The 21,394-nt window shown below is 48.9% G+C and overlaps 1 long non-coding RNA gene across 1 annotated transcript in view; it reads right to left on the reverse strand.

Annotated features, from left to right (window-relative positions):
• The window catches only part of LINC02016 (long intergenic non-protein coding RNA 2016), a 68,364-nt gene that overhangs the window by 28,421 nt on the left and 18,549 nt on the right, over positions 1-21,394 (reverse strand). Inside the window, exons 2-3 of the long non-coding RNA NR_110147.1 lie at positions 5,524-5,556; positions 5,163-5,213 (exon numbers count right to left, since the gene is read on the reverse strand). This is a non-coding gene — a long non-coding RNA (long intergenic non-protein coding RNA 2016). The remainder of the gene's footprint in view (positions 1-5,162; positions 5,214-5,523; positions 5,557-21,394) is intronic.

Raw genomic sequence — 21,394 nt, forward strand, 5'->3', positions numbered from 1 at the left:
CCTTGCTGTTTCCTGAAGGAGCCGGGAATGCCCTGCCTCCACACCTACTGTTCCCATCTCAAATGGGTGTTGTCACCCAAACACCCACAGCCCCCCACGCCAACCTCCTTTGCATCAGCCACTGCTGCCTTCCCGGTAAGGTCGCCCTGACCACCTTATTTAAAGTTGCACTCCCACTTCCTATGTGCTGTTTCCCATGTGCGGATGGCTGGATGGATGTGTTGTCCCCGTGAGGCTGAGTGGCCGGCTCCGTGCCCCCTGAGGCCTTTACCCACTCCCTCCCCAGCACACACGTGATCTCCACCCGGTCTACTCCCAATCTCAGCTTCTCTGTGGTTTCCTGGACTTTTCCTCCTCACCGCCACCCCCATCACGGCCAGAGTACCAGTCAGGGGGCTCTGCCACTCAGCACAGTGCTGAGTGGCAGAAAGAGAGGGCCTCACCCAGGAAGCCAGCTGCCTCCTCTCCACCCTCCCTGGAGAGCCCCCAGGGGTGGCTAAGTCGGAGAGACTGAGACGCAAACTCTGAAGGAAGCTGCAGAGAAGGAGTATTAGCCCCAACAAAACTTAGAGTCTTGGCAGCTAAATTCAAATCAAATGTGATTTTGATACCAATTCAAACAGCCTAGGCAGAAGAGCTAAGGGATTTTCTACTTGAAAGCATAAAAGGAACGGAGAAGACGTCTGAATTCTAACAGCTGAGAATTACTGAGATGAGGAGAGATTTGGGGAATCAGAAAAAGTCTACTTGGAGCAGCTTCCCTTCCCGGATGGAAAAGGGAGTGCCAATCACGGCTGCCATGGCAACAGGTAGGCGCCAAATGCCAGCACAGAGAGAAGCCGAGCGCGCCTTCCCACAAAAACGCCACAGTTATTGTTCTAACAGGAGCAGGATGGAAGTCATGTCCATGCATCACCCCACATCCCCAGCATCACTCCACATCCCCAGCGCCAACCTACAATGCCTGAAAGTTCTCTCCATGGCCAGAAAGATTGGAAGGAACTGACACACAGCTCCACCAACACACACACACACACACACACACACACCCCACACACACACACACACTCATTTCCCTTCTGCTCCAATTCCTAAAATTTAGTAGCTTAAAACAACAACAAAAAATCAATTTATTATCCTCATTCTTTTGTGGGTCAGGAATGCAGAAAGGGCTTGGCTAGGTTGTTGGGCGTGGGGCCTCTGCTGCTGTTGTGGCTGGTGGCTGGAGCGGCGGTGGCTGCCGGGCATCTCTCTTCACACAAGCTCAGGGCCTGCTGAGGTGTGTGCTGACACAGACACATGTGCCTGCCTGAGGCAGAAGCTGCACGCGGCCTCTTCACACCTGGTCCCGCACCATGTAGCATCACTCTGCCACCTGCTACAGGTTACTTGTGGGAGTGGCAAGAGGAGGGAAATTAGACCCCGCACTTGACCTTGCAGTGGCAAAGTTCTGAAGGGACAGTGAAACAGGAGACGCTATGTGGCCACCCTGCCCTCATCCTCAGAGAGGAGCGTGGAACTGGGAAGGCGGTAAGGGAACACAGTGCCGGAAGGGAAAGCAACCTGTCAGCACTTCCTGGTTTGACAGAGAGGGTGAGGGCATTCTGGAGGGAAACAACAAGAAGAGCCACATAGAATGGAGTTTTAAGAGCTCTAAGAATTCTCCCCACAACCTAGAAAACGAATCTGGAAAGCCTAGAGGCGGTATGAGTGCTCACCAGCTGTGTGGGGGGTGGAGATGCCTGACTACAGCAGCACTACCCAGGAGAAGATTCTGCCGTAACAGAAATGTCCCATGTCTGCCTTGTCAGGTACAGGAGCCACAAGCCACATGTGGCTCTGAGCCCTTGAAATGTGACTAATGAAACTGAGACACTGAATTTTAACTTTTATTTCATTGTAATTAACTTAAATTTAAACTTAGAAAGCCATGTTTGGCTAATAGCTATCATATCAAACAGTGTGGGTCTGGAATTAAGTATCTCAGCCAACAAATCAAACCGTGTCTTAAAGGAGAGAAGAGAAAAGTGCAGAGATCGGCCCACCTGACGCCTGCCTCTCACTGCCAAGACAGCTCTCGGGTTTGCCTCTCCACCCACCTCTCAGGAGAAAGAAGAGAAAAGTTCAACACTAAGGGCTGATTCAAGGTAACAGTCTCATAGGGCAAACAATAACTTATTACAACATTCTCCTGGAAGAGTTAGTCAATGCAATTAAATACATGGCCAGGCTCAGTGGCTCCCACCTGTAATCCCAGCACTTTGAGAAGCCCAGGAAGGAGTATTACTTGAGCCCAGGTGTTTAAGACCAATTTAGGCAACAAATTGAGATCCTATGTCTACAAAAGATGTTTTAAGATCATCTCAGCATGGTGGTGCACGCCTGTGGTCCCAGCAACTCAGGAGGTTGAGGTGGGAGGATTGCTTGAACTTAGTAGTTCAAGGCTTCAATGAGCCATGATCACACCACTGCACTCCAGCCTGGGCAACAGAGCAAGACCCTGTCTTTAAAAAAAAATGAATAAATAAATAAGATGCATACAAATTGGAAAGAGGAGACAAATTTATCATTGAAAATAATAGTATGGTATCACTGGGTAAAGATTTTTAAAATATTGGAAACAACAAGCCAATTTATTAATGTAGTCAGTTATAAAATTAGCATATCAAAATCAATAACTTTCTTTTATATAAAACATAAGCAGCTAAAAATATAATGAAGGAAAAGAGCTCATTCTCAATAGCAACTGAAAGTATAAAATGCCTAAGAAAAAAAATTTAAGAAATGTGAAGGCCTTACATGAAAAAAACTATAAAGCTCAACTAAGACATAAAATAAGATAGAATAATTGGAGAGTCATATCTTCTTATTGAAGAGAAAAACTTAAAGTTGTAAAGATGTCAATCCTCTGTAAATCAAAATTCTAATTGAATTTTTTGACAAAAAAACTCAATTGAACTTGACAAAGTATTCAAAATATGAACAGATACATCAATGGGGGAGAATAGAGCATCCAGAAATAAGCCCATGAATTATGTGAGGGTTTAAATGCTGATAAAAATGGCATGAAAATTGAAGAAATGATGGAATGTTTAATAAATGGTATTGGGATAAATGTGTAAGCACTTGGAAAACAATAAAGCTGAATCTCTACTTTCTTAGACTAAAAAGAAAAAAATCCAAAAGTATCAAAATTCAAATGTCAAAAATGAATCTAAAAATGTAATAGAAGAAAACGTGGGTGAATTTTTTATCCTGGTGTGAGAAAAAGTCTTTCTAAGCATGACAAAAAAGCCCAGAAGCCAGAATGGAAAAGGCGGACTGATTTGACTATGTAAAAGTGGAAGACTTCACTTCAGCAAAATACCCATTTAAAAACATAATAGACACACTGGGAAAAATTAGCTGCCATCCAGAAGCTAGACAAAGGTCAAATTTCCCTAAATTACAAATTACTCTCACAAGTCGTGAGGGAAAATTACAATACAATGGAAAAGTGGGCAAAGTAAATGGGCAGGCAATTTTCAAACGCTCCCCTCCAAAAACAGACACATGAAAAGAAGCCCAGTTTCACTGCTAGTAAGAGAAACACAAATTAAATTAGAATATATTATATTCATCACCTCTATTGGAAACAACAAAAAAGACTACATACCCATTGCTGTTAAGGAGCTCAGGAAAGGTGGTGTATAAACAAAGACAGCTTTTCCAGAGGACCGTTGGTGATAACAAATATAATTGTAATTTCAAAAACTTTTTACCTGGTGATTCATATTCTAGGAACTTAACATCCATACTTACTCAAAGATACATGGGCAAGACTGCACCTTTGCTTGTTATCGTAGAATTTGCAAAACAAAATGAAACAAAAAACAAACATCAAATGTCTAGAGGGAATTGGATTCTCCACTACAGTAAACCCATCCCTGGTATGAAACAACATGTGGCCAATATGCACTGGCTTGGGGAAATGCACAACACACTGATAAGAGAGAAAAGGTTGGAAGCAACGTGGCCCCAGTGTTGGAGTTGTCCAGTCCAGCACCTTGCTGCCCACAGGGATCACTCCAGCCTCCCCTTGCTCTGCTCTTTTCCTTTCTCTATTTTGTGCAGGTCCAATTACCTCCTGACGACCTTTAGAGCATCCGGCTCTGAGCACCTCAGGGGGCCAGCTGCCCTGCCTGTGTGTGGCCTGCTCTGCCTCTGGCCCTGCACGTGGCCAACTTTTCTTTAGTAGCACCTCCTCCAGGCTACCTTCCCTGACCACAGCTCCTCACCCATCCCTCCCTCTCTCCCCCTACACCCTGAATATTTTGATAGCATTGGTACAAGGCAAGCAAGGCCCAAAATTGGGGCTTAGTTGGGGAGGGTTCTTGGCTTCACCCAGGAAAGAATTCAAGGGCAAGCCAGTGATGTTAGACAGCAACTTTTATTGAAGCAGCAGTGCATAGTGGCAGCAGAGGTACTGCTTCTTGTGGAGCAGGGCAGAGCCACCCCATAAGCAGTGTGCCCAGAGCAGCAGCTCAGAGGCAGCCCTGAAGTCATATTTATACCCACTTTTAATTACATGCAAATTAAGGGGTGGACTATGCAGAAATTTCTAGAAAAAGGGTAGTAACTTCTAGGTTACTGGTAGCTGCTGTGGAAAGGGGCAGTAACTTCCAGATGTTGCCATGGAAACAGTAAACTGACATGGCACACTGGTGGGCATGACTTATGGATGGCTGTTTCCACCCTGTCCCTGTTTCAGTTAGTCCTCAATTTGTCCCAGCACCTGGGTCCCACATCCAGAGTCGAGTCCCACCTCCTACCTTAGCATATGTCACTATTCAAACTTTTGTTTATTTACCTGTTTGGTTGTGCACAGTCACTTTCTCCCTAATGCAGTCTCCATGAGGGCTAGAACCATACCTGGCTCATCACTTCCAAAGATCACCCTTGTGCTTAGAATTAGAAGAACAGCCCAAGCCCCTGGGGCTGGCTCCCTGTCTTCCCTCACCCCCCACACACATACACCACCCTCCCCATCCCTGGCTTTGCTCCAACCATGCTGGCTGTATTACTCTGTTCTCATGCTGCTATGAAGAAACACCTGAGACTGGGTAATTTATGAAGAAAAGAGGTTTAATTGACTCACAGTTCCAAGGCCTCAGGAAACTTACAATCATGGTGGAAGGCACCTCTTCTCAGGGTGGCAGGAGAGAGAATTCGAGCTGAGCAAAGGAGGAAACCCCTTATAAAACCAGCAGATCTCATGAGAACTTACTATCATGAGACCAGCATGGGGGAAACCACTCCCATAATTCAATTATCTCCACCTGATCCCGCCCTTGACAAGTGGGGATTATTACAATTCAAGGTGAGATTTGGGTGGGACACAGAGCCAAACCATGTCATTCTGCCCCTGGCCCCTCCCAAATCTTATGTCCTCACATTTCAAAACACAACCATGGCCTTCCAACAGTCCCCCAAAGTCTTAACTCATTCCAGCATTAACTCAGAAGTCTAAGTCCAAAGTCTTACCTGAGACAAGGCAAGTCCATTCCTCCTATGAGCCTGTAAAATGAAAAGCAAGCTAGTTACTTCCTATGTACAATGGTGGTAGAGGCATTGGGTAAATACACCCATTCCAAATGGGAGACATTGGCCAGAACAATGGGGCTACAGATCCCATGCAAGTGTGAAATCCAATAGGGCAGTCACTAAACCTTAAAGTTCCAAAATGATCTTCTTTGACTCCTTGTCTCACATCTAGGTCACACTGATGCAAGAGGTGGGCTTCCATCGCCTGAGGCAGCTCTGCCCCTGTGGCTTTGCAGTTTACAGCCCCAGCCTGGCTGCTTTCACAAGCAGGTGTTGAATGTCCGTGGCTTTTCCAAGTTCATGGTGCAAGCTGTTGGTGGATCTACCATTCTGGGGGCTGGAAGACAGTGGCCCTCTTCTCACAGCTCCACTAGGCAATGCTCCAGTGGGGACTCTGTGTTGGGGCTCCAACCCCATATTTCCCTTCTGCACTGACCTAGCAGAGGTTTTTCATGAGGGCTACATCCCTGCAGCAAACTTCTGCCCGGACATCCAGGCATTTCCATACATCCTTTGAAATCTAGAGGGAAGTTCCCCAACCTCAATTCTTGACTTTTGTGCACCTGAAGGCCCAACATCATGTGTAAGCTGCCAAGGCTTGGGGCTTACACCCTCTGAACAATGGCCCAAGCTGTATCTTAGCCCCTTTTAGCCACAGCTGGAGCTGAAGCAGCTGGGACACAGGGCACCCATCATGCCCCAAGGCTGCATAGAGCAGGGTGTCCCTGTGCTCAGTCAATGAAACCATTTTTCCTTCCTAGGCCTCCAGGCCTGTCATGGCAGGGGCTGCTGTGAAGCTTTCTGACATGCCCTGGAAACATTTTCCCCATTGTCTTGGTGATTAACATTTGGCTCCTCATTACTTATGCAAATTTCTGCAGCCAGCTTGAACTTCTGCCCAGAAAATTGGTTTTTCTTTTCTATGGCATCATCAGGCTGCAAATTTTCCTAACTTTTATGCTGTGCTTCCTCTTGAATCTTTGCTGCTTAGAAATTTCTTCCACCAGATACCCTAAATCATTTCTCTCAAGTTCACTGTTCCACAAATCTCTAGGACAGGGGCAAAATGTCACCAGTCTCTTTGCTTAAGCAAAGCAACAAGTCACCTTTATTCCAGTTCCCAGCAAATTCCTCATCTCCGTCTGAGACCACCTCAGCCTGGACTTCATCATCCATATCACTATCAGCATTTTGGTCAAAGCCATTCAACAAGTCTCTAGGAAGTTCCAAACTTTCCCACATCTTCCAGTCTTCTGAGCCCTCCAATCTCAAGGAAGTTCCAAACTTCCCCACATTTTCCTGTCTACTTCTTAGCCCTCCAAACTGTTCCAAACCCTGCCTGTTACCCAGTTCCAAAGTCACTTCCCTGTTTTGGGGTATCCTAATAGCAGCACCCTACTCTTTGTGGTACCACCTTACTGTATTAGTCTGTTCTCATGCTGCTATGAAGAACTGCCTGAGACTGGGTAATGTATAAAGATAAGAACTTTAATTAACTCACAGTTCCACATGGCTGAGGAGGCCTTAGGAAACTTAGAATCATGGTGGAAGTCAGCTTTTCTCTGGGTGGCAGGAGAGAGAATGAGAGCCAAGCCAAGGGGGAAACCCCTTATAACACCATCAGATCTCGTGAGAACTCATGAGAACAGCATGGGGGAAACAGCCCCCATGATCTGATTACCTCCACCTGGTCCTGCCCTTGACATGCAGTAATTATTCAAGGTGAGATTTGGGTGGAGACAAAGAGCCAAACGATATCACTGGTCTTCTTTTTCCTCAAGCACACAGAGACCCTTTTTCTGTTCCATCCACCTGGGCACCAGCCCCCTCCTGAAAACATTTACATGCCTCATTCCTCACTCTGCCTGAGGCATATCTAAAATAGCAGCTGTTGCCTCCAGGCCCTGGTTTGCCTGTCTCCCCACACTCCCCTTGCCTCCTCTTTCCCCTGTAGGTTTGACCTCTGTTCCTCTGCTGGCACTGAGCACTGTGAGGGGAGACTTTGTTCTGTCACTCTTATGTCCCCTGCCTTGAACAGTGCTAGGCACAAACCCACTCATTTAGGGCTCACAATAGGTCTAAATTCAGCTTCATTTTCTTTCCCAAACAATGACCTAATTGTCCTGATAACTTTTTAAAAAATCCATCTTTCCCCTTTGGTTTGAAATGCCACTTCCATCCATATTGAATCCGTATGGACCTGGGCCTATGTGTAGCTTTCTGTTCTGTCCCACCAACATGCCTTTCTCTGCTGAGCTGTCTCCATTCTACCTCTCTACTGTCCCTATTGACAACTAGTACTCACTGAGCCCTACCCCATGCCAGGCACTTGCTTAGATGACAGAGCAAAGAATGAAACAGATGTGTGCCAGCCCTCCAGGAACTTGCATGGGTCCCTAAAATACAGTGGGTACCCTGGACACCCTGGGACGAGGGTGGAGGTGATGGATAAAGACAGAGACGCACATGGAGAACAACATGGAGTCAGGCAGCCTCTGAGAGGGAAGTGGTTACTTCGCGTTGTCAAAGTCCTCCCAGCAAGAGTGTGGAGCACAGCTGGGAGTAGAAGCACTGCAGGCAGATACGGTGAGTGGGTGCAGGGGGAAAGGGCCTCAGTGAGAACTGGGTGGTGACACTGGCTAGAAGGCAGGGGTGGGAGGATTGAGAGACATCTGGAAGTGGAATTGCTGAGACCTCGTGATTATGTCTGATAAAGAAGTAAGCTAGGCAGTGATTCACTCCTGTAATCCCAACACTTTGGGAGGCCAAGAAGGGCAGATCACCTGAGGTCAGGAGTTTGAGACCAGCCTGGCCCACATGGTGAAACCCTGTCTCTACTAAAAATACAAAATTAGTGGGGTGTGGTCATGCGTGCCTGCAGTCCTAGCTACTTGGGAGACTGAGACGGAAGAATCACTTGAACCCAGTAGCAGAGGATACGGTGAGCTGAGATCGCCCCACTGCACTCCAGCCTGAGCAACAGAGACTCTGTCTAAAAAAAAAAAAAAGTCGGGGAGCAGGGGAGGATGGAATTCACACCCTGAGGCCCAGGACCCTGCCTGAGGAACTGGATGGGCAGAAGCTGTTCCCTGGGATGGCCAGAGGGACACATGCGTGGCAAGGCTGCAAAGCCTGTACGATGTTAGGCAGGGCTGTCCAGCAGGCACTTAGAAAGGGTGTCTGGTGCTCAGGGGTGAAAGCCTGGCTTGAGTTGGGAGCTTGGGAGCTCGTGGTCCCTGCATGGATGGGAAGCAACCAGCTAAGGGCTGGTGTGCAGAATGAGAAGAGAACAATAGGGCGATCTGAGGCAGAGCCCTGCGGACACCCCAGCAAGCCAGGGGCTGGCAGAAGTGTCACCCCATCAAAGGGGTAAATGAGGACCAGGTGGGCTGATGTCATCGAAGCCAAAAGTACAGGAGTGGCCAGCTATCACCTGGTAACCATCCCCTGTCCTTAGCAGGGGACATAGGTGCTGAGCACAAAGACATTTCCCAGACTTCCTTGCAGCTGGGTGAGGCCATGTGACAAAGTTCTGACCAGTGGATATAAGCAGAAGTGGAGCGTGCAGCTTGCTGGAAGGGCCCCCACAGGCAGGGGCAAAACTCTTTCCTCATTCTCCCTCCCACTGACTGGAATGTAGGCATGATGGCTGGAGCTGCAGCAGTCTTTTAGACCATAAGGGAAAAAGCTGCATGTCTGAGATGCAGGAGCAGCACTGTGGAAGGAGTCTGAGTTTGTGCAGACATTGGAGCTGCTGCGTCAGGCCTGGACTGTGTGCATATGCAGTAGAGAGAACTCAACTGTCATGTCAGCCCCATATTATTTTGGATTTCACTGAAGCTTCTGAGAGGTCAGCTAACACAAGAACTTAACAGCTACTCATGTTAGCAGCATACAGGTTGCTGGTGGCCCTAAGATGGGACAATTTTAGGGAGTGAGGTGAGACAGCCCCCAATGCAGGTGGAAATGGGTTGAAGAATGAGAAGTGGAGACAGTGAGTGTAGAAGCTCTTTCTAGAAGTTTGTCATGGTGGCACCAAGGTCTGAGAGTGCTTTAGCTCCCTCTCCCATAGTCCCCAACATCCCCACAACAGTCTCCCCAAGTAAACATGCAAGCTGAATAAAGCAAGTCTCATATGTCCCCACCGCCTCCTGCCACCCCTAAGCTCCTCCAAGGAGATTTTTCAGACATACCACAGCTGTGAAGGGCACAGAGGAGGAAACACAACGTGGTGGGAGACAGAGGGCAAGTGTTCAGTGTGGGAGTGGCCGTTCCAGAGCCCCATCTGGGCTTGGGCTGGGGCAACAGGGTGCAGAGTTGAGGTGGCTGAACCCCAGAGCCATCTGTGGCACTCTAGGGGGTGTCCCCTACCTTTTACCCCACTGCTGCATTCAGTGCATGGGGTCACAGCTATGTGGCAGTCCCCAGTGACACTGCTGAGGCTGTGCTAGGCCTGGCCTGTTCCCAATCCTGGGATTCTCCCCATGAACCCAAGCTCCACGCCTGCTCCATGGTCCCCACCTCATCAGCCTGACAAGCCAGTTCATGTAGCGAGAAGACACCCGTCAGCTCTTTCTCTAGGCCAGGTCGTGCTTCAGACTGGAGAACAAGAGAGCAGCCAGGCACCATGAGGGCCCTCAGGGCTATGGTCTCGACCACCATCGTCACAGCACAGCAGACAGGCCGGCAAGGAGTCCTGCCAGCATGGAATGGCCTGGAGCTTTAACCTGTGGCTGGAGGGCTTCCGGGATGTGGTGGCCTTCAGGTTGTCCCTTGGCTAACAGGAGTTCAACAAATTCAGATGTGGGTGTGGCAACATCTGTTTCTGAGAGGACTTGAGGGTCTTCTGCCAAGTCCATTCATCCTTCCCCTGGTTAGGAAAACAACAAACTTGATTTTCTTCTGGGGCCCACCCTGATCATCCACTCTCAGGCTACATGGCCCCATGAGAGCCAGGGCCATCTGGACTTCTGGGAAGGATGCAGGGGTATGAGGGTGTGGGCACCAGAGCTGCGGGGGAGCAGGGGAGCCAAGGAGGTCCCGGGCTCTTGGGATTGTTGCTTGACGGGCAGATCCAGTCTCAGTGGAGGCGGCCCACTAGACTCCTGAGTGCCTGGGCCACCCTTCCTCTGCCACTGATGGTGGTTTGCATGGAGTTGTCTGTCATTTGTGTTATAAAGAGGCCTGGCAGTACGAGCCACTCGAGATGGTGGTGTGTGCTGGCTGCGCACAGTGCCCGGACCACAGGGACATTTGGGGCTGCTTTGTGGAGGGGGAGACATTTGAGTCAAGGCTCGAAGCTGGTTCAAACACAGGAAAGAGCCTTATAGAGTTTCTGCGAATATCTTTTCAACTCTCAGTTTCTACTATGACAAAAATCATTTCATTCATTGACTTTATTAAGAAAAGTTCATGTATTTAAAAAAAAGGACACTTGGGGTGCAGTGGCTCATGCCTGTAATCCCAGCACTTTGGGAGGCCGAGGCTAGCACATTACTTGGGCTCAGGAGTTTGAGACCAGCCTGTGAAACACGGTGAAACCCCATCTCTTTCAAAAATAAAAAATTCGCTGGGCATGGTGGTGCCTGCTTGCGATCCAGCTACTCCAGAGGCTGAGGTGGGAGGATCACTGAGCCTAGGAGTCTGAGGTTGCAGTGAACCATGTCTGTGCCATCACACTCCAACCTGGGCAATAGAGTGAGACCCTGTCTCTAAAAATAAAAAAAAATTTAAGAAGGACAATAAAAGACCTAAATGTTGGATCTGGCACATCCTATTGTCATAGGGCATCTGGTAAAAGGGGAATTAATGCTAAGAAAATGATAGGACAATGGTGGAAGCCACAGTTGAACTGAGAAGTGAAGGCACTAACAGATTACCAGTGCCCGCTCCACACCAGGAAAGCCTGGCCCTGGGGACCCAAGACAGGGACAAATCAGACCTGGGATCTTTTTCTGATTGGTAAAATATCTCAGAGGCAGCCCGCCAAGATCACACCATCCTTGTAAGGACTGATAATGTGGCCGAAAGCCCTGGACAGGGTGAGCTCCCTGCTGCCTCTCTGTCCTCATCACTGTATCTCACCCAGAGCAAGAGGCTTCCGAGTTCCACACCTTAGAGACTGGTGTGCTGGAGGCCACATCACACCACCCAGGTCCCTCTAGGGCTTATTCCCCAGCTCCCAGCAGTGCTGGGGGCAGAAAGGCCTTGGCAGAGGTCGCCCCAGAGGCATACGTCATTGCCCCAGGGAGAGCCCATGTCCCATGACTGCCCCACGTAAGCAATGCCCAGCCACATCCCAGACTCAGAACAGCTCTAGGATTCCTACAAGGGTAATGGAGGCTGTCACTGCACCTGCACTGCAGCTCAGTGTGCCCCTCTGCCCCTTCCTGCTTCCTCCCTCCCTGCCACAGGACTGGCCCCCAAACACCCTGCCTACTGAGCTTTGTCTCAAGATCCCCTTCCTGGAGACTCAGGTGGGCAAGTGCCCTGCCCAAGTCACTCTTGAGCGTGTGGGAAATGCAGGGCTCCCCAACTCTGAGCTGGTGGAGGAGTCGTAGGAAGAACTCCTGCCAGTCTGCCTGCCTTATACCCCCACAACTGATGGACCAGCATCATCCTTCTTATAGCTCTAGCCAGTCATGTCCCAGGCCGGGACATGAGGAAACCCTGGGCCACAGTAGGCAGTGCCTGCCAGGCTGGCAGGTATGTCAGGGTGGCTCCCCCACCCAGCCCCGGAAGGTGCAAGCAGATTTCTCACCATCTGCCACTGCTCGTTGTTGAAGGAAAATTCTACATCCCAAACACTTGTTTGGAGGAAATTAGATCATCACCTCCCCACTAATGAAGCCAGGCTGTGCACACAGAGGGAAGGGAGACGGCAAGTTGTTTGTCTCTTGGGGCTGCAGCCCAGAAGCTGGCACCCCAGGTGTCTCCAAGGCTCCACGCACGTGTGGCGAGAGCAGCCTACGCCAGGCTGGCTTGAAACCTGCAGGTGACGTTTGCCTGGGTATACGAGGATCCGGGCCCTCAGCCGAGACTGCCACTGCGTTCCAGGACCACAGACGGCCCCTGCTGCCTTCAGAAGGCAGCACGCACCTGTCCTACCCAGGTTGAGGAGCAGCCCCTGCCTCTCCTCACGTGGGTCCCCCTCCACCATGGGTGCCTCTGATGGGGAAGAAGGCACATGTTCTCAGGTGGAACAGCCTCCCTCCTCAGCTTTCAGCCTGGAGCCTCTCCAGGCACAAGGTCCTTTTAACAATTTTTTAATTGAGATATAAGTCACATAACATAAACTACATAAACTTCACCATTTAAAAATGGGTACTTCTGTGGTTCTTAGTATATTTACTATGTTGCACTAGCACCACCACTATCTAATTCCAGAACATTTTAATCACACTCCAAGAAGCCTATACCCTTAACACCACGGCCCATTTCCGCCCTCCCTCAGCCCCTGGGAGTCATTCATCTGCTTTCTGTCTCCATGGATTTGCCTCTTTGGGATATTTCATATAAATGGAATCGCAGGCTACACAATCTTTTGTGACTGGCTTCCTCCACTTAGGACAATGTTTCCAAGGTTCAGTACTTGGAATAGCAAGTTCTTCATGCCTTTTTATGGCTGAATAATATTTCATTGTATGGATGTGCCACATTTGGATGGGTTCCACTTTTTGACTATTATGAATAATGCTGCTATGAATATTCATGTACAAGTTTTTGTGTGAACATACGTTTTATACCCAGGAGTAGAATTGCTGGGTCATATGGTAGTTCTATGTTTAACTTTTTGAGGGACTGCCAAGCTATTTTCCACAGTGGCTGCATCATTTTACATTCCCATCAGCAATACACCAGCATTCTAATTTCTTTACATCCTCAGAAACACTTGTTATTTTCCCTTTTTTAAAAATTGTAGCCATCCTAGCGGGTGTGAAATCATTATCTTGTTGCGGGTTTGATTTCCATTTCCCTAATGGACTAGTGCTATTCATTTCACTAATGACTAGTGCTATTCAGAGGATGTTTTCATGTCTTACTGACCATTTGTACATCTTCTTTGGAGAAATGTCTACTCAGATCTTTTGTCTGTTTTTTAATTGGGTTCTTCATCCTTTTATTTTTGAGTTGTAGGAGGTTTTTAAGTTTTCTGAATACTAGACCCCTATTGGATATATGACTTGAACATATTTTCTCCCATTCTATGAGTTGTCTTTTCACTTTCTTGATAGTGTCCTTTGATGTACTAGTTTTTACTAGTTTTGCAATCTACTTTATTTTTTATTTTATTGTTTGTGCTTTGGGAACAATATCTAAGAAACTGTTGCCTAATTCAGGGTCACACATCTTTTCCCCTATCGTTCCTTCTAAGAATTTTGTAGTTTTAACTCTTATAGTTTTAGGTATTTCATCCATTTTGAGTTAATTTTTTGTATATGGTGTGAGGTAGGAGCCCAAATTTATTTGTGTGTGTGTAGATATTCAATTTCCCCAGCACTATTGTTCAAAAGACCACTCTTTCTGCATTGAATAGTTTTTTGGCACCCTTGCCATAAAGAAGTTGAACATAAATGACCATAAATTATTGCTAGACTCTCAATTCTATCCATTGGTCTATATGTCTGTTCTGAAGTAGTACCACACTGTAGCTTTGTAATAAGCTTTGAAATTGGGATGTGTAGTCCTCCAAACTTGTTCTTTTCCAAGATTGTTCCAGTCATTCTGTGTTCTTTGTAATTCCATAATGTATATGGATTTTAACAAGGGCCACAAACTCAAATGCATCCGGAACTAAACAGATTTTGTAAGTTAGCAAAGCTGGCAGTTTCAAAACATATCTTTGGTTATGTTCTTTTGACATGCATGATTTGCTTGCATCTTAAACACAGGAAAGTTCTTCCCCTTTACACAGAAGCATGCTTTCTCCACTTTTTCTTGCAACATGCCAAGATGTCTTCTCCCCTGGCCACCCTTGCATTCAGGAAAGGCTATGAGTACAGTCCTAGTTCTAACCATGAGACATAGAGCAGTCTGCTGGGAGAGCTTCTGGGAGAGAGATCACATGATAAGAGAAAGGCAGGGAAACTCCCAGCTCTGTGCTAGTGCTGGGACTAAGGCGAGGCAAGAGAGGTGCCCAGGGTACCATATTTAAGGAGGTGCTCACCGTCAGGGCCATACACCAAGACCAATGCCTCCTTCAATGTGCCACCTTGGGTCCCTGGCTGGCCCCACCCTGACCCAGCCCTGCTCTGTCTGCCTTTGCTCTTCTTCCTGCTCTGAACCACGGGTGTGATGCCCAGAGCTGGGCAACCATCCAGTAACTCGGGGCAATGAGACTGAGGGCAAACATCATCAGGCTGTGGAATCTGAAGGCGGTGTGGAGAGGTGGGAAGGCCTAGCCTTCGATGACACTACCTTTTCAAGGTTCCCTGTTCCGTGGCATAATCACATGTCTATTAGGATAACTCCCAAAGGCCTTGAAAGTTGAGTTTTCTGTAACTTTCTACCAAAATCATTTATAACATATCAATTTATGGCAAGTACAATGAGTTTGCCATGTAAAGCTGTAAAGCAATATGTTTAAGCTTTAAAAGTAAGTTGAAGACTTCATCAAACTTAAATAACCTTGCTCTTTGAAAAACACATTAAGAAGCTGGGTGTGGTGGCTCACACCTGTAATCTCAACACTTTGGGAGGCTGAGGCAGGTGGATCACTTAAGCCCAGTTGTTCAAGACCATCCTAGGCAACATGGCAAAACCTCATCTCTACAAAAATACAAAAATTAGCCAGGTGTGGTGGTGCCCACCCATGGTCCCAGCTACTCAGGAGGCTGAGGTGGGAAGGTCTCTTGAGCCCAGGAGGTTGAGGCTGCAGTGAGCTAAGATTGCACCACTGCACTCCAGCCTGGGTGACAGAGCAAGATCCTGTCTCAAAAAAAAAATTAAACGGAAAGAAAAAGGACACTGTTAAGAGAATGAAAAAGCATCCAAGGACTGGGAAAAATATGTGCCAAACATATATCTGACCAAAGACTGATGTCTAGAGTATAAAGTGAACTCTTACAACTCCATAAGAAAAAGGCAAACTTTTACCCAATAAAAATGGACAAAAGAGATAAAGAGATACATCACCCAAGAAGAGATACAGGTGGAAATGAGCCTCCAAAAGGATGCTCAACATCATTAGTTGTCCTTAGTCATTAGGGAGATGCAAATTAAAACCACAGTGAGCTACCACTTCACACCTACTCGATCTGCTAAAATGCAAAACCTCACAGCTGAGTGCTGACGGATACAGAGCGGCTGGAACTCTCGCACCCTGCTGGCGGGAAGGGAAAGAGTGCAGCCTGGTTGGAATACAGTTGGGCCATCTCTTATAAAGCTATACGTACATTTCCCATACAACCCTGCAAGTCTGTGTGAGGTGAGAGAAATGAACACATATGGCCAAAGACCTGTGTACAAATGTTTATAGCAGCTTTATTTGTAACAGGCCCACACCAGAAACAACCCAAGTGTCCATTGGCTGGTGAATGGATTAAGGGACAGTGGCACATCTGTACAATAAAATAGTACTCAGAAATGAAAAGGAAACAAATATTAATACATGCAGGACTATGGAAGAATCTCAAACATGCTCAGTGACAGACACCAGACTTGAAATGCCACATCTATTCCACTCACACAAAACTCTGGCAAAAGTAAACCTATGGGAGGGATGTCAGCTCAGTGCCTACAGGGGGAAGGTTTGGGGAGGGGGAAGTGATTGATGGCAAAGAGAGGCCCAGGAGGTTTTGGGGTGATGGCACTGTCTGTACCTTGCTTGCGGTGGGGGATACGTGACTGTATGCATTTGTCACAACTAAGAAGGGAGAATTCTACTGCCTGGAAACATTTCAAAACTAGAGCCAGGCTATGGGTTTGATGAATTATTACATGCAAACACAGCATATAGAAACAAGAATGCTGGACAATAAAATGAGTACATTATGGTTTTGGTTTTAGCTTGATTAGAAAAAAAAAAAAGGTGGGCTGGGCAAGGTGGCTCACGCCTGTAATCCCAGCACTTTGGGAGGCCAAGGCAAGCAGATCACCTGAGGTCAGGAGTTCAAGACCAGCCTGACCAACATAGCGAAACCCTGTCTTTACTAAAAATACAAAATTACAGGTGTGGTGGCATATGCCTGTAATCCCAGCTACTCGGGAGGCTGAGGCAGGTGAATTGCTTGAACCTGGGAGGCAGAGGTTGCAGTGAACCGAGATCATGCCATTGCACTCTAGTCTGGGTGACAAAGCGAGACTTCGCCTCAAAAAAAAATAAAAACGAAAAAGGTTGGGGTGGCAGCATCACGCTAAGTGAAAGGAGTGAGACACAAAAACCACACACTGTATGACCCCATTCACATGAAGTTCTGGAAAAGGCAGAACAGTGGGAAACCCCGGGAACAGGAATCAGATCAGGGTGGCCCGGGGCCTCGGGCGGCAGACAGGTCTGACCACTGAGGGACACCAGGGCAGCGTGGGGGTGGTGCGCTGGTCTAGGTCTTGGTGGTGGTGGTCACGTGGCTGTGTGCATTTGTCAAAACTCACTGAACGACACGCTTCAAAGGGGTAAATTCTACTGTATGTAAATTATATCTCCAATTATGTAAATTATATACACCTGACTGTTTCAAAAAGTAAGCTGAGTGAAAGGAAATTATTAGATAAATAATCATACAGGTGGTGTGCAGATACGGCAAAAATTGCGGAGGTGGTAGAAGAACGAACACATTTTGGGAAACACTTAGTCCCAATTATCTCTCTAAAAAAAGGAAAAAAGTAACTTAAGAAGGTGAATGGGTGTGCCTATTTTCTCCCATCTGATCCATATAATTTAGCATTTTGGTGGTTTGTCCTGGAATAGTTTAATTGAAGTGTCAATCAGAAAACTCTCTAAAGATGAAAGGCAGCTTCTCAGGTTAATGGTTGGGGATCACCCCCACCCCTTGCCCAGCCCGGCCCTGCCATTGTCATCCCTGTTATCAAGGCTGGCAGGAGACCAAAACTCACACCGGTGGAACAATGAGGGAGCATTTCACTCAGGACCCTTTACAAAGAGCGGTCAGGGCTCAGGGAAATGGTGATGGTGAAGCACTTGGGGCCAGTGACAGCAGGAAGCCCTTGCCGTGACAAGACCTGCAGGGTGAGAAGAGAAAGCACATCCCAGAACCCAGAGAAAGAACCCCTATGGGAGCAGGGCACCCAGGAAGAGCCGTGGCCTCTGCAGAGGAGCTCAGAGAGCCCATGCCCTGCAGGGAGGGGCACGGGGATAATCCCCCCAACCTCACTCTCCCCCTGCCCTTAGGCTTCTGGCTGGTGTCTCCAAAGCTACCTGGAAGCCGGAAGCCCAGAGCCTGCACGTGTCATCCTTGCCAAGGACAGGCTTCCAGGGCCCCGAGAAGAGGAAGAAGGCAGTGGGCCTGCAGGGGCACGTGGAGGGGCCTGGCATACACCCTGGGAGGCTGCATTAAATGCTCAGCGTGGTGAGGCCAGCAGAGAAGGAGCAGACTGCCATTTGAAAGAGGGCTGGTTACTCACAGATCCTGAGGAACAGTGTGGGGTGCACCACGCAGGGCCATGCAGAGAAGCAGCGGGTCGGCAGGAGGCAGAGGGAGAGGGGGTTGTGGGCAGGAGCCTCCATTACAGAATACACAAGAAGAAACAGCAAGCTAGGTAAGCAGATATAGGGTTAATTCATTTGAATAATTTTGGGACTCTGGGACACAAGACTGTCCCTGGCTGTCTGATCCTGGCCCTGGGGGTATAGGGTAGGAGGACAGTGGTCCAGAGTGTGCGAGGCGCTGGCTGGGTGTGGGCTCTGGACTGGGTGGTTTGCATATAAAAGGTACGCTGGCAGGGAGACATCTCCTATCTCTAGGAACTGAAAGGGGTGGTCCCTCCAAGTTCAGCAAAGCCCCAAGATACCAAAACATCAGAATATAAAAACTAAAGAGCACCTCTATAAAACTCAGGGTCCTACCCAGTACTGGGAGGCCCATGGGGAGGGAAGGCCAGTTGCCAAAAGAAGTCTTTAAAGGCATCAGTCAGTCCTAATTCGATTATCAGGCACTGGGGCACAGGTCCAGGCTGCTAGAGAGCCACAGGAGGTGCTCAGCCCCTTTCTCTCCACCTTTCCAAGGCCTCCCCACCAGCCGAGGCCCACTGCACCTCTTCACTGCAGCCCTCCTGACACTGGGGCCCATACTGTCCTCCCACCACCTCCCTCTGCAGGTGCACCCTCCACAGAGAGCTTAACCCCTACCTGTGTCCTTCTCCCAGTCTCGTCTCCAATACTGGTTCCCTCTCACCCAATGGTGGAGGCTGCAGGACCACATTTCCTGCAGATTGTAAGAAACACAGCTCAGATGCCCTGGGCAGCATCAGCTGGCACTTGGAGCTGCTGGGACCAGGGCTTGACAGGAGGGGAGAAGCTTCCACCTTAAGGAGACACTACACAGAGCCACATGCATGCTCCAGGACAGAGCAATGGCACTGTACCCACCACCCAGCCCCACCCTCACTGGGCATCTCTTAGAAAGAGGTAGGATAACTAACGGGGACAGATGGGGTCAAAGCAACTGGAGACGCAGGGACAGAGGATAGGCTTCCGGCTGCCGGTGGGGGATGAGGGGTGGGTGGCTGAAGGGAGAAATCCTTCCCTCCTGGGGGTTCTTTTTGGGAGGAGCTGGCTCCCTGCAGTCTGATCCCGCAGAAGCAATGGCTGGGTGGGGCTGGAAGTCCCCAGGGTGGTGACAGCCTTGTTCTTCAACACAGTTCTGCATGGGTAGCTGGGAGTGGGGAAGAGGATATAGGTGCTCAGCCCTCTCTGGAGCCCCCTGGCCCCCCTGTGAGGAGCCTTCACCCCACTCCAGGTCCTTCCTAATCTGCCCAGGTGGGTCTCACACCCAGCTCTACACCTGTCTACAGTCCGTGCACGCCACCCTCCAAACCCACCTTCGCACAATGCACCCAGTAGACACCCACACACCCCACCAGACCCTGCTCAGACCTTGTCTGGTGGTACCCTCCAGCTCTGCCTTCCATTAACAGGGTGGTGGGAGCAGAGGGGGGTCTGCTTCTTTGATCCCCTGACTTCCTGTATTTCCCCCAATCATTGCACTTTCGTTTCCATATTATAGTTACTGAATTCCTCAATTTCCTCATCTGTAAAATGGGAACAATAATAGTCCCTATCTCAAAGATTTACTATGCAGGTTAAATGGATAAGGGCTCATAGTTTAGAAAAGGACACAAGAAAACAAGTCCATTAATAATTCCTATTCATACATAGTTACTAAGTAATCATTATTAATGCACAAACCCACATCCTACTCACAGATGACTCTGGTGTACAAGTGAGTAAATGCTGGTGAAACAACCATGGCCACTCCAGAAGCAGATGGTTCAAGTCCAGTCCAAGCTCACAGGGTTCTCTAACTTGGACAGCAGAGGCTGGTGTGTGGCCAGCCAGGCCAGTGTGGCACCGTGCTGGGTGCTGTGCAGGGATCGTCTCTGTTAATCCCCATGATGACCAAATTGGGGCTGGGCAGAGGAGAGCAAGGATGCTTTTGCAAAGCTGCCTGGGAAAACTGGAATGTGTACCTGGTCTGAGAATGGCGAGAGCCTGGCCTCTTCTGCCCACCTCTTGTCCCCAGCCCCTGGTCCCCAGCCCCCGGCCCCCACCTCCAGCTAAAAGGCCAGCAGGAGGTACAATGCACCTCCCACTTCCACGTGTGGCCACAAAACCTCATCTCACGTCCGGCCATGACGCTCCAGGCTTAGCAGGAGTCTGAAATTGTGCTCAGAGCTGAGCAGGGGGAGCCGGCTGCAGGCGATGCCAGCCCCGGGTGCCAGGCTAAGTGGCTTCCAGGCCCTCTAATCACCCCACTCCCAGAATCTGGCCATTAACTCCCTCCAGGCACAGGAGGGGGAACTGCCACTCTCCCTGCCTGGCTTTTAGTCCAATACAATTAGGAGCCATTATTTCTGTCGTGTTGATTCTTGAAAAATCATTTTAAATTGTCGCCCTTTTTTGTGCTTTGGAAAAGGAAAATGCCAAAGAAGATGAAAACAGAAAAGCGTACCCACACCCCCCGCCTGGCTCCCAGTACCCCCCTCAGTCCCCCCATTTCTCCTGACCTGTTCCCTTGGCAACCGTCAACTCGCTGCTGCAATATTCAAAGGGAATCTCACAACTGCACATCAAATGGGACGCAGGGGGTATTTTCAGTTGCCTGAGACCCAGTGGACGGACAGACAGACACACACCCCCTCAGGGAAGACAGAGACACAGAGAGGCAGAGACGGACAGAGAGAGACACAGAGAGAGAAGAGCAAAAAGACCCGGCACAAAGAGACAAAGACCCCCAGGGAGATAGCGACGTGGGGACCCAGAGATGCTGGAGTGGATGCACAGAATGAGACAGAGACAGAGCAAGAAAGAGATGTATGTGCAGAGTGACAGACAGACAGACACTGATGAGGAAAGAGACCAACCCAGAGAGACAGAAAAAACAGACACATGGCGCAATGCAGAGGAGACAGATGGGGCTGGGCAGGGGGATTGGACGGAGGGAGAAGAGGGGCACAGGCAGGAGGGGACGGACTGAGGGTGGCAGAGAGGAGATAGGAGGAAGCAGTGGGAGCCACAGTGCCTGGCCTGGGCACCACAGCCTCTGAGGGCCCCTCCAAGCCAGGCTGCCTCTCCTCCTCCCCTTTCCCTGCCCCAGGTAGGCTTCTCCCCTGACCAGACACCTCACCCTCGCTG

Source organism: Homo sapiens, chromosome 3, assembly GCF_000001405.40.
Source record: "Homo sapiens chromosome 3, GRCh38.p14 Primary Assembly".
In the NCBI taxonomy this organism is placed as follows: domain Eukaryota; kingdom Metazoa; phylum Chordata; class Mammalia; order Primates; family Hominidae; genus Homo; species Homo sapiens.